Genomic DNA, 18,084 nt, shown 5'->3' with positions numbered 1-18,084 from the left:
TGTTTGTGTCATCTACACAGAAGGGACTAAGTGATCAAAATTTTGAGCAGGAATACATGGATAAAAAGTACTAATGAATACCAGGTGGATAAAAAGCACTAATGAATACCAGGTGTTTGATGAGATTCATTTTTTTTTCTTAAATTACGCAAGTGTCAATATACTGCCTACGGAAAAAAATGCTTTAATAACAGAACTATTCTACTCAGCATGGAAGTAACACACTAACTAATTTTCTATAATGACTAGCCCACTGGGACAGAACGATTTATAGTCAGGAGAAACCAGTATAACAAAAGAATAAATTTGGTTTGTCTGAATTGGACTTACTACTGCTTTTAGAATTTTTCTTCTAATCTTTGCAAATGAGATCTATATATCAATCGATCAATCTGTTTATCCTTCTATTTGATATATTTCTATTGCGCTAATATATCTTGCTTTCTTCTTTTTGAGGTATTCATTATCATCATTATTTAACACTCTGAAATTACTTTGAATGTTATAATGTACAGAATAAAAGTAATATAGGAGATAAAGTATGGGGAAAAACAAACACCTACAGTAATTTGAAAGTGTGGAATGTAAACATTTATAAGGTGGCACCAGATTAGTTGTTCTAAAAGAAAATAATTTTGCATAAAGTGTTGTGTGAGCATTGCTAATCGCCTCCTATTTCTTTTGCTCAGTTAAGACAGTTGAAGCAGGGAATATCATGGGGAGCGTATGAGGTGAAAAAATGCAATGCACTTTACACTAAAACTATGCTGAAAGTAAGTTTTGCTGAAAGTAAATTATTAAGAATTTAGAAATTTTTTAAAATAAAATTTGAAAAGCATAATATTAAATATTTTATTAAAGGACACTAAGCTTAGAAATAATGTAGCAAAAAAAGAAGATTTTTAAAAACTTTTTATATTAAAATAAACATGTTTTCTCTAGGATAAGTGGTTATCTAGTGAGATAATAGGAATGATAAAAAATTTTTGTCAATATTAAACAGCTAATATTCAAGAGCTTAGAATATATCTGTGTACATTTCAAATATAGCTCATCCTTAAAAGAATAAAACTACAAAATAATCTGGGAAGTTATTCAAGTCACCAATAGATGGCAGAAGGAATTTATATTTTGGGTTACTTTAAGGACTCTGCCAAGCTATTCCAATAATGCACTGAAAACAATGTTGACTTTAAATTGTTATATTTAACTTTAGTCAGCAACATTCATCAAAGTTAATTGTAAATTTATATACACACATATACATACACATCAATGTATCTATATATTCACGTATTATCTCTCAATTGCTGTGTAACAAATTACTTCAAAACTTCAGAACTTACAACAAACATTTAAACATTTATTATTTCACACAGTTTCTGAGGGTTAGGAATGTGAACATGACTTAGCTGGGTGGTTGTGGCTCAGCATCTCTCATGAAGTTGCACCAAGTTGTCAGTCGTGACTGCAGTCATCTGAAGACACTGGGCAATCTCTTTTCAAACCCATTCCTGTGGCTGATAGAAAGAGGCTTCAGTTCCCAGCTAGGTGGGTCTCCTAATAGGCTATACACAACACACGGATGCTGACCTCACCCAGAGTGAGGGATGAAAGAAAGAGAAAGAGAATGACAGCATAAGCAAGCAAGAGCCCAATGACAATCTCTGCTCAGTGTTTATAACCTAACCTGTAAATTACACAGCGTAACTTCTGCTTAATCAACTGGTTGCATAGACTTACTCGGTGTAAAATTTGGAAGAGGAACTGTACAAATTACAAGGTGGCAGTGGAGAGATGCATCTTGGGTGCTAATAGATATCTATATCCATATCTATATCTATATCTATATCTATCTATATCTCCTCTTCATGTTCAGTTTTGTTATTCTTATACCGCATTCAATATTTCTCTTTCTGTAATTGAAAATACCCTTTTCCATCTTTCTACTCACTAGATTTTTTTCTGTTCTTTTCTTACATTGATCATTCCTTTCTTTCTTTCCTTTCTTCCTTTTGATCAACACTTGCCATGTCCAACAAAAGTGAAATGAGCACATAAGCATAAATATGTAAGAAAAATCCTGGTTTCTTGAATAGAACATTTTTAAAACTTTTGAGAATAGAATGTCAGAGGAAACATTGTTTATTATTCATGGATACAAATGGGCTTTTCTCATCACCAAGGACAATATTTAACATAAAAGTCTTCCTGGATTTCTAATTTACTTCCAGTAAATTCATGACGATCTTCACCTAAGTGTCTGGACATGTCGGACAGGGTCACTTTAGAGTGAGGATAAGTTTTTTTGTTAGAGATAAAGTCATTTCTACAGGTAAAGTCAGCATGTGAGAATTAGGAGTGTAGGGACAGAGATGCAAAATTTTTTAAAGCGTCAACTAATGTAAAACTAGTTTTAACAATGTTTTTAAAGCAGAACTATGAAGTTGAAGGAGTAGTAATTAGAAACAGAAGGGGCAGAGAAAATGGAGAAGAAGAAAGACCTTAACATTTAAAATAAATAAATAAATTGAATTTGAAATATCTTTCTGGTTTGCAGGTACTCTTCATGAGGGTTCAGTAGCGATAACCAAACCACTCTACATATTTCAACCACAAAAAAATTAACTCATGTAATTTGGTGTTTAAGAATTCATTGTAATTTGTCAGAGAGAGAGAGAGAGTTCTTGTAGTATGGTCTTCTTTGGTCTCCCCAGAAGGGTCCCCGGAATCTTTTAAAACAGACCCAGCAGAGAGGGGAACACCTGGGGCACCACTAAGAAGGTATCAGAAAGCTACCACAGGACTTTCCAAGTTTAAAAATTCACCACTGAATTTTTGATTCTACAATATGAAATGATTGCAGCTGTCAATAAAATTGCCTCTAAACATCTGTTAAGCGAGAGACTGGACACTTCAGTGACATGGTAGAAACTCCCTGTATCTGGACAATATTGCAGGTAGAAGGTATCTAAAAATAAAGGCAATTTCTGCTTTCTTTCCACATTTTAAATCTCATTTCAGTGTGCACAGAGAGCAGTTCCTAATACATGTAAAGAATCCTACTTTTATAGACTAAATATTTAGTTTGTCTTTCCCTCCCCCAAATTCATATGTTGATATCTACTCTAGACTTCAGAGTTAAGGAAAACATACTCCATGTTTTTGTACCACCCTTTTGTAGCATTGGACTCAAATAAAACACACTCAGAATAAAAATAAGTTTTAATATCCTCCACTGGAAAATAATAATCTTTGTTTCTGAAGAATTAAGTCAACTCCCTAAAATGAGTAAATTACACAAATATCAAATTAATCCTCTATGCCCAGGATGAAGCTCAATTCTACAGCAAAGATTCTCTCTTTAACAATACCTATACCTCAAGACATATGAGAAAAAAATATTAAACATACATCAGTTACTGAGCATGTATTATGGAATTATGGTCATCATTATAATAACTTTCTGACATAAATACTGTATTAGCAAGAAAAAAGCAAACAACCTCATTAAAAAGTGGGCAAAGAACATGAACAGACACTTTTCAAAAGAAGACATACATGTAGCCAACAATCATGAAAAAAAGCTCAACATCACTGATCATTAAAGAAATGCAAATCAAAACCACAATGTGATACCATTTCACACCTGTCAGAATGACTATTAATAAAAAGTCAAAAAATAACGGATGCTGGTGAGGTTGTGGAGTAAAAGGAATGCTTATACACTGTTGCCAGGAGTGTAAGCTTGTTCAACCATTGTGGAAAACAGTGTGGCAATTCCTCAAAGACCTAAAAACGGAAATAGCATTTGACCTAGCAATTCTACTACTAGGTATATACCCAAAGGAATATAAATCATTCTGTCATAAAGACACATGCACATGAATGTTCATTGCAGCACTATTCACAATAGCAAAGACATGGAATCAACCTAAATGCCCCTATAATTGTAGACAGAATAAAGAAAATGTGGTACATACATATACACCATGGAATACTATGCAGCCATAAACAAGAATGAGATCATGTCCTTTGCAGGAACATGGATGAAGCTGGAAGCCATTATCCTTAGCAAACTAATGCAGGGACAGAACATCAAATGCTACGTGTTCTCACTTATAAGTGGGTGCTAAATGATGAGAACATATAGATACATGAAACCATACAGATACACACATACACACTGGCACCTATCAGAGGGTGGAGGGTAGAAAAAGCGAGAGGATAAGGAAATAGTAACTAATGAATACTACACTTAATACATGGGTGATAAACTAATCTGTACAACAATCGCCCCCATAACACAAGTTACCTGTATAACAAACGTGAACGTGTACCCCTGAACTTAAAATAAAAGTTTAAAATAAATAAATATTGTATTAGCATTTGACAGATGAAGAAACAGAAGTTTAGAGACATAAAATAACTGCCTAATATTATGCCTTAATCAAACTGAGAATCAGTATCACAACCCAGTTTTCATTCAACAGCATAATTATCATCACTGTGCATTCTAGCTAGAAACTTCGTATCATATTGATAAATTTAAATTATTTAATATGTATTAAAATATTGTTTGTGTTTTTATGGAATCTTGAACTTTGCTCTAAACTGGAACTACTTCCTGTGATTAAACTTTTGTTTGCAAAAGGTGAAAAATGAAAAGGGGAATGGAGAGGTGAAGGGGTGGAAAGCACAGGTTTGTTGTGGTTTTATTAATTTTAGCAATTTATTTTTAAGATACATTATGTATTTAATAGATTTAAAGTGTTGATTTTCTCCCAAACTATGCAGAGAATAGTAAGTCAGTCATTGCTTTTGGCTTCATGTAACAGATATTCAACAATTTTGTTAATTGAACTATATAAGCAATTATTTTTCTCATGTAATAATAATTGCAAGGAAAATCATTCAGGGGTGGTGTCTCCATCCTTCTCTGCCATTTTTAGCGTATGATTTTTTTTTCCTCGCAGTGGTTATCTAGCTGCTCCTCTTCTGCTTATCCCATCTGTCCTCCAGTCAGGAAGCCAGAAAAAGGCCAAATGATGAAGAGCAAAGTGGAGGAGGCAAGGAGAAAAGGCAGCTGAGCCTGACCTCTTTTAAATAGCTTGTCCAAAAGTCCTACCCAGAAACCTTTTCTTACACAGTCGTGAGCTGCATGATGACGCATGAATCACCGACTTCTTGTATTTACGATGGTGGTCCCATAAGATTAAATTGGAGCTGAAAAATCCCTATTGCTTTGTGATGTTGTAGCCATTGTTAGATCATAGCACGACACATTACTCACTGGCTTGTGATGAAGCTGATGTGAACAAACCTACTGTGCTGCCAGTCACATACAAGTAGAGTAAATACAACTAGGTACAGTACATAATACTTAATCATGATGATAATTATGTTATCGGTTTATGTATTTACCATATGTTTTATCATTATTTTTGAGTGTACTCCTTGTACTTAGTTTTTCAGAAAGTTAACTGTAGAACAGCCTCAAGCAAGTCCTTCAAGAGGTTCCAGAGGAAGATATTGTTATCATAGACGATGACAGCTCCATACATGCTATTGCCCCTGAAGTGGGCAATTGAACCTTCCAGTGTGACAAGAGGTGGCAGTGGAAGACAGTGCTATTGAGGATCCTGACCCTACGCAGGCCTAGGCTAATGGGTGTGTTTGTATTTTACTTCTTAACAGAAAAGTTAAAAAAATTTAAAATAGAAGAAAGCTTATAGACTGAAGATATAAAGAAATAAAACATTTTTGCACAGCTGAACAATGTGTTTGTCTTTTAAGCTAAGTGTTAGTACAAAGGAGCAAAAAACGTTAAAAATTAAAATGCTTATAAAGTAAAAATATTATAGTAGCAAAGGTTAATTTATTATTGAAAAAAGAAACTTTTTAAAGAAATTTAGTGTAGCCTAAGTGTACAGTGCTGATAAAGTCTATAGTGAGTGTACAGTCTCGTCCTAGGACTCCCATTCACTCACCACTCACTCACTGACTCACCCAGAGCAAGTTCTATCCTGCAAGCTCCATTCATGGTAAGTGTCCCATACCATAAAAAAAGGTGTACCGTGTTTTGTTTTATACTGTATTTTTACTGTGTCTTTTCTATGTTTAAATACACAAGTACTTCCCATTGTGTTCCAATTGCCTACAGTATTCAGTAAAGTAACATGCTGTCCAGGATTGCAGCCTGGGATCAATAGGCTGTACCTTGTAGCCTAGGTATGTAGCAGATTGTACCATTTAGGTGTGTGTAAGTATACTCTATAATGTTCACACAAAGACAAAATTAGCTGACACGATTCTCAGAATGTCTTCCTGCTGTTAAGCATGACCGTGTTTTGTTCTCCAGGATGGCATATCATGGCTTCATATTACATGTGAGAAAATACAGTGAGGAAACACCTGAGAAACTTTCATAAATGAGTGTTATTCAGTGTAAAATGAATATTATTTACTAAATTATAACAAAAATGATTATCCTAAAATGTTAAGTAGCCAGCTTTCTAGGACCTTGGTTACCTGAATACTTTAATTGGCTATGTTTCTACTCTATAAATATGAAGATTTTTATAATAAGGCAAAAGAGAAAATGGATTTCAGTAAGGCTAGTAGCAATATCTATAAAACTCTTGTAGTATCGTGATGACCCCAAAGTGCAATTATTAATACAGTATTAGTACTTAATACTCCAATTAGAGCCAAAAAAACACTATCAAACACCATAAAATGCCATATCCAAGCCCCCGTTCTGATAATTGTGTTTTAAAAAGTGCTAATAGTCCATATTCTGTCATATAAATTTGATTCATACTTATTTTTAAATTACGTAAATAATTTCTTTAATATAAAGGAAATAATTTTTTGTTCAGTGAAAAACAGTTAAGCATTAAGGGCTCCATGTCAGTACAAGTTTCCATATTAGCTGTAGGTGGTGTATGACAACACATTGACTAATACACTGGCTATTAAATCATTCACCCAGAAACGATGCACTTCATTACTCCACACATTTCATCGTCCAAATCAGGTCATATAGTCACTCTAAACATCAAAGATGACACAAAAATAGATATGGAACCACCATAATAACTAAGCTATGTGCCTGCTTTTTAAATGCCACATATTACATATACATACATATTACATGAACATACATATACATGTTTGTAAAGAAAGTAGGGCTAATGAGGAAACATTTGAACAATTTAGAAAGTGATATAACTACTTTGAAAAAGAAAATTATTTTCAATAAATTAATAGCACAAATCATAATCTTAGGCAAGGCTCAGTGGCTCAAGCCTGTAATCCCAGCACTTTGGGAGGCTGAGGAAGGCAAATCACCTGAGTTCAGGAGTTCCAGACCAGCCTGGCCCACATGGCAAAAACCTATCTCTACTAAAAATACAAAAATTAGCCAGGAGTGGTGGCACTTGCCTGTAATCCCAGCTGTTTGTGAGGCTGAGGCAGGAGAATCACTTGAACCCAGGAGGTGGAGGTTGCAGTGAGCTGAGATCACGCCACTTCACTCCACCTGGACAACAGAGTGAGACTCTGTCTCAAAATAAATAAATAAATAAAAACAAATTATAATCTTAAAGTTTAAAGGAACTAGTTTTCCTTCATTTATATTTAAGAATGCAAAAGTGAAATGGCTTTAACATGCAACAATAGAGAGTCAAGTATATTCTAAGGAAAAAATGCTGACAAGCATGGCTAAATCATTGAATATAGTGCTGAAGAACACACTGTAATTAACATTGATAGGGCTGTGCAAAATCAACATATATAATAAACTAGGTATTGGCATAATACAATATTTCTTGGGAATATATTCATATATAGAAATAGATAATTTTAAGGAAGAATTTAAGTGAAAAATCACTTGGGTTCAGATTGAAATAAAAAAAGAACTTGACAGAAACCACAAACAAAAAGATGTTGCTGTTTAAATACAACACATACTAACAAGAAATGCAAAGTCATCTAATAATGTTACTAAAGTGATAATATCTAGATAGAGTCTTAAATTATCTAAGAAGCGATGAGCCAAGTGGATATTACTTTGTATGAAGTTATCAAAAGAAGGATCAAAGCGAAAGGAGAAGTGACAGAATGCTTAGAAATGTAGAATACCATACTAGGTTGCCGTGTTAACAGAATACAAAAACATTGGGAGAATACTAAACCTTGTTTAAACATATAGTAATAATTTAGGATTTTAGATGTTTCATGAATGTGAAGCAAGAATAAGTCACTGGCAGTTTATTAATTAAGTAATTTGAAGTAAAAGTTAAAAGGCAGATTTTATATTATTAAAAGTCAGAAGTTTCAGGGAGCTGAAATTCTCTGGATTTAAATAGACTCATTTTAATACAATGGGACAGATTTTTTTCTTTTAAGTAACATCAGTGAGAACTAGTGGGAAAAATGTATATAGGGATTATAATTTGGAGTGAAAATTAGACTAGATGACCCCTAAGATTACTTTGATAGCTGTAAATTTTTAAGAAATAATGTGTCATATGTCATGTTAATTAATAAATTAAAATATATTTGTGAGGCTGGGCGTGGTGGCTCACGCTTATAATCCTAGCACTTTGGGAGGCCGAGACATGCGGATCACAAGGTCAGGAAATCAAGACCATCCTGGCCAACATGGAGAAACCCTGTCTCTACTAAAAATACAAAAATTAGCTGGGCATGGTGGCACGTGCCTGTAATCCCAGCTACCCAGGAGGCTGAGGCAGGAGAATTGCTTGAACCAGGGAGTCGGAGGTTGCAGTGAGCCAAGATTGTGTCACTGCACTCCAGCCTGGTGACAGAGCAAGACTCCGTCTAAAAAAAAAATTATATATATATTTATATGTAAAAATTAGAAAAAAATGTAATAAGTGCTTGAACAGGATTTTTTTGCAAATGTATTATGAGCTACTATTGATTTTAAATAATAAAATAACATTTTAAAAATTAAAAACACCTTTTTTTCACTGTTCTTTGAAAAAATGCATCTGAGTCTGTTAATTTCTTCTCTACCAGTTCCGTGTTTCCCTGTAATCTTTTATCAATTGCACTTGAAATAATCCAATGATTTGCCACATTTTACAAAAGTATGTGACTCTCAACTGCAGTCAGTATGTCAGTCCCTTAATTAAAACTTTCAATAGGCTTGGGTATACAATTGTATTTTTACAAGCATTAGTACAAAATCCTAAGTGGTGAGTCCCTGCCTATTTTTTTTTCTGTCATTTTGTTGTTGTTGTTGTTGTTCACTGTAGTCAAGTCAAGTCACACTGGCCTACTTTTCCTTCTCTTTTCTTTTTTTTTTTTTCAAACAAGGTCTCTCTCTCACCCAGGCTGGAGTACAGTGGCATTATCTCAGCTTGCTGCAAGCTCCGCCTCCTGGGCTCAAGGAAGCCTCTTACCTCAGCCTCCAGAGTAGCTGAGATTACAGGTACAAGCCATCGTGCCCAGATAATTTTTGTATGTTTTGTAGAGAGGGGGTTTTGCCATGTTGTCCAGGCTGCAGTTTCTTATTTGAAATAAGATTTTTCCACTGCATAGGCCTTCCTATGTACATTTGAAAACTAATCTCCATCCCCTATTATCTGACAAATCCTTATCCTACAAATGTCTCATTAGGATACTTCATGAAATCCAATATAAATTATTTGCTTATATTGCATATATATATATATATAGCATATATATTGCATATCTATAGCATATATATTGCATATCTATAGCATATATATTGCATATATATATAGCATATATATTGCATATATATAGCATATATATTGCATATATGTAGCATATATATATTGCATATATATAGCATATGTAGCATATATATATTGCATATATATAGCATATATATAGCATATATATATTGCATATATAGCATATATATTGCATATATATAGCACATATATTGCATATATATTGCATACATATATTGCATATATATTGCATACATATATTGCATATATATTGCATACATATATTGCATCTATATTGCATGTATATATTGCATCTATATTGCATATATATTGCATATATATAGCATATATATTGCATATATATTGCATATATATAGCGCATATATATTGCATATATATATTGCATATATATTGCATATATATAGCGCGTATATATTGCATATATATTGCATATATATAGCGCATATATATTGCACATATATTGCATATATATTGCAAATATTTTGCATATATATTGCACATATATATTGCATATGTATTGCATATATATTGCATATATATATTGCATATATATTGCATATATATATTGCATATATATGGCATATATATTGCATATATATATTGCATATATATTGCATATATATGGCATATATATTGCATATATATATTGCATATATTTTGCATATATATGGCATATACATTGCATATATATATTGCATATATATTGCATATATATGGCATATACATTGCGTATATATGCCATATATATTGCATATATATGGCATATACATTGCATATATATGTCATATATATTGCATATATATACCATATACATTGCATATATATACCATATACATTGCATATATATGGCATATATATTGCATATACATTGCATATATATTGCATATATATTGCATATATATTGCATATACATTGCATATATATTGCATATATATTGCATATATATTGCATATATATATTGTGTATATATATTGCATATATATATTGTGTATATATATTGCATATATATATTGTGTATATATATTGCATATATATAGTGTGTATATATATTGCATATATAGTATTTATATTGCATATATATAGTGTGTATATATATTGCATATATACATAGCGTATATATAGCATATATATATTGCATATATATTGCATATATATATTTTGCATACATATTGCATATATATATTGCATATATATATGACTAGTCAAATGCATATGATAGGGGCTTTGGTACAACATGTGTTAGCACAGCACTTCTAAGCAATAAATATTTCAAATTATGAAAGGACCTGAGTTTTGGATCTAGAAGAGTAGAATAGTTTTTATAGACATAATTCCTCAAATGTAAATCATTATAAACTCTGGGCAGTTTTCTAAAAGAACTATTCAAAGGCACTAGGAAGCAAACAACAGCAAGAGAAATCTAAATGAGTGTATCTGCTAAAGGAGCAGTGCAAACTGTGTCATTCATGCAAGGACATAGTTTTCTCCTAAGGGCACATGTCAGTCCACATGTGGGGAAAATAGAACTTAAGCAGAAAGCCATAATCATACCGTGTGAAGGATTCAAAAGTTTGGGACCAATAGTCCTCAATTTGGAAACTGAGTGTGATCTGAAAAGGAGGAAGAAATAGAACGGGAATCCAAAATCTGTGTATAACCTCACCTCAAATCTTAGCTGAGCAATGAAGTATCCATGTGTGGATGAGAATTCCAGGAATCCAGGGGCGGGAGAAAACAGAATGTTGAAAGAGAAGAGCTGATGTTTTAGCTGCTGCTTAATGGAGAAGACACAGTGTTTTCCCATCTACTAAATTAGAGGGGATTGGTACAGAGCTTGGGCTTTGTCTTCAAACAACCAAAAAGGCTACTCTTTGAGAATAAAAGACTGAAAAAATTAATGACACAAATGAAATAGACTCAACAAAGCAGAGTCTGCAAGTTCAAGACTATTGATAATTTGTTTGGTTGAACAAAACAACACTTTATGAAGACGTTAACAGAAATAAACATTTTTAATGTGTCTTTTGCAATGTCCAGGTTTGTATTTATATAAAGTTGTAGAACAGGTAAAAACTAAGCTACAGTGATAGAAATTAGAACAGTAGTTTCCTAGGCAAGGGGGATTATTAATTAGAAAAGAGCAAAAGAGAATTTGAGGTGATAAAAGTGGCAGTCTTTATATTAATTTGGGTATTGGTTACATACATATATGCATTTGTCAAAATTCATCAAACTTTACAGCCTAAAATCTATGAATTCAATTATGTGTAAATCATATTTAAAATAATTAAACAAATAAATAAAAGTATCATTTCCTATTGTTTTTGGATAACATGTAAAAAGAATCTTGCATATTTCTTGCATATAAATGAGAAAAATATCTGAAATTACAATAATTCATGCAATGATAGTCAAAATTTATTTATGTGTATATGTGTGTGTATATGTTTCTTTTTCTAATGTTATATACACATAATTCTCAAAGGATCCCAAATTCCAATTAGGCATTTTTTGCCTTTAATATTATTTTTTTCTAATATAGAGTAAGATCACCATCTTCTCTCCTTGATTTGTGTGCAAGTAGCATGAAGGTCTGCCAATAAATATATTATGGGTCAGTAAGTCAGTGATTCTCACACATGCTACACTCTGAATCACTACACTACTAAGCATCAATTTCACAATAAACTGCCTTCTGCTTCATTTCTCACTCTTCAAGTCCTACCTCCTACACAGCAACAATAGAAATTAAACCTATTCCAGCTGAGCACATACATGGAATTATACAGAGTTCATAAAATATATCATTTTCTACAGGGAACCCTGTAGAGTTAAATCCTCCATTTTAAAAAGGAGAAGAAAAAAACACACAATTCTCTTCTCATTAAAAAAAGCAGCAGGATGTTTTTCAGATCCAAGCAAAAACCCTTCAAAATAGATCATGCACTTTGATTTACATATTTTTCATTGATTGAGGAACTTTAGGGCTTTCCTTCAGTAAACAGAAACACTGAGTTTGATGTTTAAAGAGAAATTCAAGTTGTATGTCACATAACAGAATTTGTCTCTTTAATCATACTTCACAGTTTCATATCAAATGCCTAATCTATATGTAGACCTTTTTTTAATAATTTTTATTTTAATATAAAAGCTATAAAGAGTAACAAATTGTTTCATCATCCTGTGTCCCTCTCAGAAATGAAACATTACAGCACTTTTGGTGAAAGTACATCGGTGTGCATATATTTATAAATCTTTTCTTTTGACACAAATCTACTGGGGAACAAAACTTCTGGGCAAACGTGAATGATTTTAGTTTCTTGACACCCCTCTTCCTTAGAATTAAAATGCGTTTTGAACCTCAAAAATCTCTCATGATTTTTGTCATCTTTTATAAATTACAGAACTTTGGAGATGATTTATACAAGGCCTTAACTTTATAAGAAACTAGCAACAGTAACCCAAAGTGGTGAAGTAAACTGCCAGCTCACAACTAGTTAAGCATAGTAAAATCAAGAGCTCAAATAGCACATTCCAATAACACATCTTAGACCCTGAACGGTTAAGCATTTTCTTATGTAATTCTCCATGCTTCAGGTTTTGTCTTTCAAATGAATTGCTCTGGGTAAATCCAAGCTTCAGCATAAATCTAGAATGAATTTACTTATGCAGGTCAACATTTTGATCTGGAACGTATCTTCTTAGATGAAAGAGAGAAACAGTTGGATATGGTTTATGCTGCATGAAATTTAAATAGAGATGCATCTAGGAATATTTCCTTAGCTTTAGTAAACCGATTATTGTATTATTTGACCAAAGACTCTTTTCTAATAGGGAAACATTTTTTGTTTTAATCTCTATCTGCAGACCTAGTTCTATTGTCAGCAACACAGAGCTTTCAAATTGCAAACTTTGGTGTTTTTAGATACACTTAGCACGAGCATTCTAAAATGTTATTCAAATCACCTTCACTTTAGTCCCCATAACACTCTTCTTAGAATTTTTATTTTTTAGTAGTGATCAGGTAATTCTTCTAAATTAAGATATGTTTAGATTGAAAAAACATACATCAAATGATTTTGTATTTGAAGCAAAATTTAATGGCTCCTTTCCTGTCTTTACCAGTTAAGTGAGGTGTTTGGGGATAATATTTCTGTTTCTTTCAAAAATTTAAATTACTGGAGACAGCCTGCATGCATTTATCCATTGAGAGTCAAGACTCAGGCCCTCATCTATAGGCCACTGCACTTCCATAATCCAGGCGCAGTCATTGACGTTTTCCTTAGGCTATTTAACGAGAAGACTATTTCTTACCATTAGATAAAGACAATATTTTATTCAACACTCATCAATTGGGACTCAAGTTATTTTGTCTGATATTTGTTCAATTACATGTACCATTAAATATTCTTTAATGTTACTTTTTACAGGCTGTGTCCTATTAAATGATACATAATTTGTTCTTTTTCTGGTATAATGAGATATGTGTTTATTTATTTTTTTCTTCTTCAATTCTGCATTCTCTTTCCTTGGTTAAATGAGCCCACTTATTCTTGAAATAAAAGCACTCACTTCATGGCACAAAAAAGCAGAATCTGAACAATCAGTTTTTTTCTTCAGAGAAAATTTAAAGAAAGGAATTGGAGCAGTCACATGACTTTTTTCTTTAATTTAAAGCGTTTTTTGAGTTGAGAAATTACTGTTGATTTTCTCCATCTAGTTCTCTAAGAAGGTAAATTATGCAGAAATGTAGCTGCTGCTATATGTATATTGTTATGCATGCTGTGACTTGACTTATTTTGAATATATATATGTGTATATATATATTAATTCCATTTAAATACTTGTGCCAGCCACAACTCTAAGAAAGTACTATAGTTAATTTTGTGTATCAACTTAGCTGGGCCACAGTGCCCAGATGTTTGATCAAACATTACTCTGGATGTTTCTGTTAAGGGATTTTTTTGGATGAGATTAGTATTTAAACTGTCAAACTTTCAGTAAAGCAGTTTAGCCTCCATAAGGAGGGTGGGCCTCATCCAATCAATTTAAGGCCTTAATAGAAAAAGATTGACCTCCCCTGAGAAAGAAGGACTTCTGCCATCAGACTGCTTTTGGACTTGAACTCTGACTCTTCCCTGGGTCTCCAGCCTGCAGCCTACCCTGTTGCCTTCAAGGGAGATTTTGGCCTTACAAAGCTTCCACAATCATTACCTGAATCAATCCCTTCACACACACACACACACACACACACACACACACACACACACATATATATATACACATAGATCCTGTTAGTTCTGTTTCTCTGTAGAACCCAAACACAGTAAGTCAATTTCACAATTACTCATTAAAAAAAAAATGTGTTGACTATATTAACACCTTCCTTAAAGCCGAATTTTTTTAATCTTCACATATTTAATGAGACATAACATCTCAAATACAAATAAGTATTCAATTATTTTTATTTGAGCTATAAATGTGTCCTGCAACTTCATTTAAACTAAAAGTTTAAATTCAAAGCTGAAAATCAAGGTATTTGTGTAGAATCCTCCTCAGTCCTTAAATGGCTTGGCTCCCGTCTTTTGATTCATGTTTCTAAACCTCTGATGATAAAGGAGCTTTGCATTTCACCAAAGGACTCAATAGAAATTGTTATTAGCAGGAATTTTCTATGAGAAAATTGCATTGAGCCATATGGGCCTTCCAGATTTCACTGTATTACAAATGGGGATTTTAGAAGGGTCGGGGGGGAAATAAACTCCTCACACCCACAGTGGAGAATATTTGAGACATCGAAGGAGGAAGATCGAGACAATATTTGTGTCAGTGTTTTCTCTTTCAGAGATCTTTAGATTTGTGCTGAAGATATGTGAGAAAAACAAGTGAAAAATGTAACTTATTTTACTGAACTTTTAAGATACCTTATTATACATAAATGAGATTTTTGAAACATTTGATTTAGCGGTAGATTAAAAGTTCCAATTTTGATAAGATAAAAAAGCAACAGCTAATACAATTAACTGTTTCAGGTGGGCCATGTACATGGCTAACAGCCTACCTCGCCTCCAGCATTTGCACAAGTAATTGCTTGCTTCACCTATGCCATAATGTGCTGTATTGTTATTACAATTAGAATCATCAATTGCCTATTTGGATGTTTCAATTTATACTGATGTCATAGCAGTAATGAATTGGCTATTCTGCCTAGTTTCCTCCACAACAATCTCATTTATGTCTTTAACTCTAATGTAAGAATTTAGGACTATCCTATTTGCCCAAGTCACACTCCTCTATTTAGTTAATATAATTAACTCGATAAGCACAGGTTGATTTAATTATCTTTTCATATTTCTTGCTGCTAATCCCTATAAGATCTCATTTAAAATTATTATTCAAAGGCTGTTTCTCACTCTAGATTGCCAAATAAACACCAAGTAGCAAAGGAATTCAGCATCAAAAGGATATTTAAGTGTCTACTAGTCATATTAGTGGTCTGATACTCTGCACTGGGCTGCAGAATTTCTATGCCCCCCTGTAAATGAAAGTGAAGTTTCTTGCCCTAAAAATTCAAGGCAGTGACTGCAAAGCATGAAACTAATCATAGGACCTTTCTGAGGATGGGGTCTTCTGAGACCGGCCAGTTCATACACATGAAGCCCACCTAACTAATGCTTGACTTCCTCCCATATCATCCTTACCATGTGGTTATTGAGCCTCTGACTGCACATTTCAGAGAATTAAACCTCCATAGTTCTCAAAGCCATCCATGTCTTAATTGAACTGTTGTGTCTATTAGAGAATTCTTTCTTATTCTTCTAACATACCGGAGGGAGAGAGAGATGACACATAACTAATTGCTGACACCTATTATTATTACTAATATTTATTACTTGCTTTCTCACATTTTTCTTGTATCCGGTTTCTAAAGGCAAAGTGGAAAAGGAACTAAAATGATTTCTCCATTCCTCCTGCCTTATTACCTTGACTTCCTTTGTCTTCTTTACCAAGAAGTCCTCTCCTCTCCCAAAAATAGAGTGAACAACATCTCCAACAATACCTCCAATATTGGTTTTGAAAAGGAAGTCAATACCATAAAAGATGAGTAAATTGTGATACAATGCCATCCAACCTAATTGCCCCAGGGAACAGATTGCTTATCAAATACTTAACAGCAGTTCTCCCCTTATTAATGATTTCACTTACATGGGTCAACTGTTGTCCTAAAATATTAAACAAAATATTTCAAAAGCAAACAATATATACATTTTAAGTAACTAATTATATTTTTATAATTGTTCAATTTTATTAGTTATTGGTGTTAGTATATTATTGTGTATAATTTATAAATTAAAATTACGTGTATGTGTGTATAGTGTATACAGGGTTTTGTAGTATCCACAGTTTTAGGCATCCCCATCTTGGAATATATTCTTTGTGAATAAGGGGGTACTAATGTAGTGTGAGAAATTCAAGCATCAACAGGAATTCCAAATGTAAGGACTTCATTATCAAACTAAACCAATACATGAAGATGTCTCTTATTCACTTTCTTACAGGCAATGAAAGAAACTGAAATCCTGTCCTATGTTCTACGGTCATTTTTGATATATCTTTGATTAGATAACTGAACATACCCTTTGCATGAGCCAGTGTTACTGAAAACACTGATTTTTAAAATTCTTCCCTTTAGTGACTGCGTAGGTAAACTATATCAGTGTAGGCACTTTAAGAAGACATTTGCATTCCATGTTCTCATTAATCCTGCTACTTATATTTAGCATGATCTCTTTCTTCACATTTATTTCAAGAAATCTTTTTATCTCGTAGGTCTTTCTTTGCCCCCTAATTCTGAAACTCTTTCTTTCTCTCCAATTAGATATAATCTCTCATTTGAATCCTTATTAAAATGTGGTTTGATGTCTCTGCATTACATTTATTTTTCATTCACTTTCTGTGCTGAAAGCTACTTGAGGGTCATCCTCACAGCATGTAGCATAGCCCTCACCAAAGGCTTATTACATTCAGTGAGCAGAAGATTATTAACTATAATTTTTCTTTTTCATTTTTACTAACACTTATTGAACTTGGTAACAATATGTGCAGAACAAAACCATACACACCCCAAATCATTAAAAAAGTGCTGCTACTATTAGACTTATTCAGTTTGCTATGCATGAATAATTTGACTTTAAAGCCAAATATATAGTAATCTTTAACAAAAACTTAATCCACAAATCATATCAGGATATTTTTTAAAAGGTTAAGATTTGTTGACTTTTTAAGTAATAAAACTCTTTATTATATAAAATACTCTGTAAAATACGATTTC

General features: G+C 32.8%; 2 long non-coding RNA genes across 2 annotated transcripts; one reads left to right on the top strand and one right to left on the bottom strand.

The window, feature by feature from the left end:
• Positions 1-1,342: 1,342 nt before the first annotated feature.
• Positions 1,343-5,234, bottom strand: LOC124900804 (uncharacterized). The gene is made up of 2 exons (XR_007058353.1): positions 5,147-5,234; positions 1,343-1,520 (listed from the first exon to the last, which is right to left on the bottom strand). It is a non-coding gene; the product is annotated as an uncharacterized LOC124900804 (long non-coding RNA).
• On the top strand, positions 5,113-5,776 carry LOC124900803 (uncharacterized). Its single transcript, XR_007058352.1, has 2 exons — positions 5,113-5,367; positions 5,468-5,776. It is a non-coding gene; the product is annotated as an uncharacterized LOC124900803 (long non-coding RNA).
• The last annotated feature ends 12,308 nt before the right edge of the window (positions 5,777-18,084 follow it).

This window comes from Homo sapiens, chromosome 4 (genome assembly GCF_000001405.40).
Source record: "Homo sapiens chromosome 4, GRCh38.p14 Primary Assembly".
Lineage (NCBI taxonomy): Eukaryota > Metazoa > Chordata > Mammalia > Primates > Hominidae > Homo > Homo sapiens.
The sequence above is the reverse complement of the archived record's forward strand: the minus strand, read 5'-3'. Positions and strand labels throughout refer to the sequence as shown.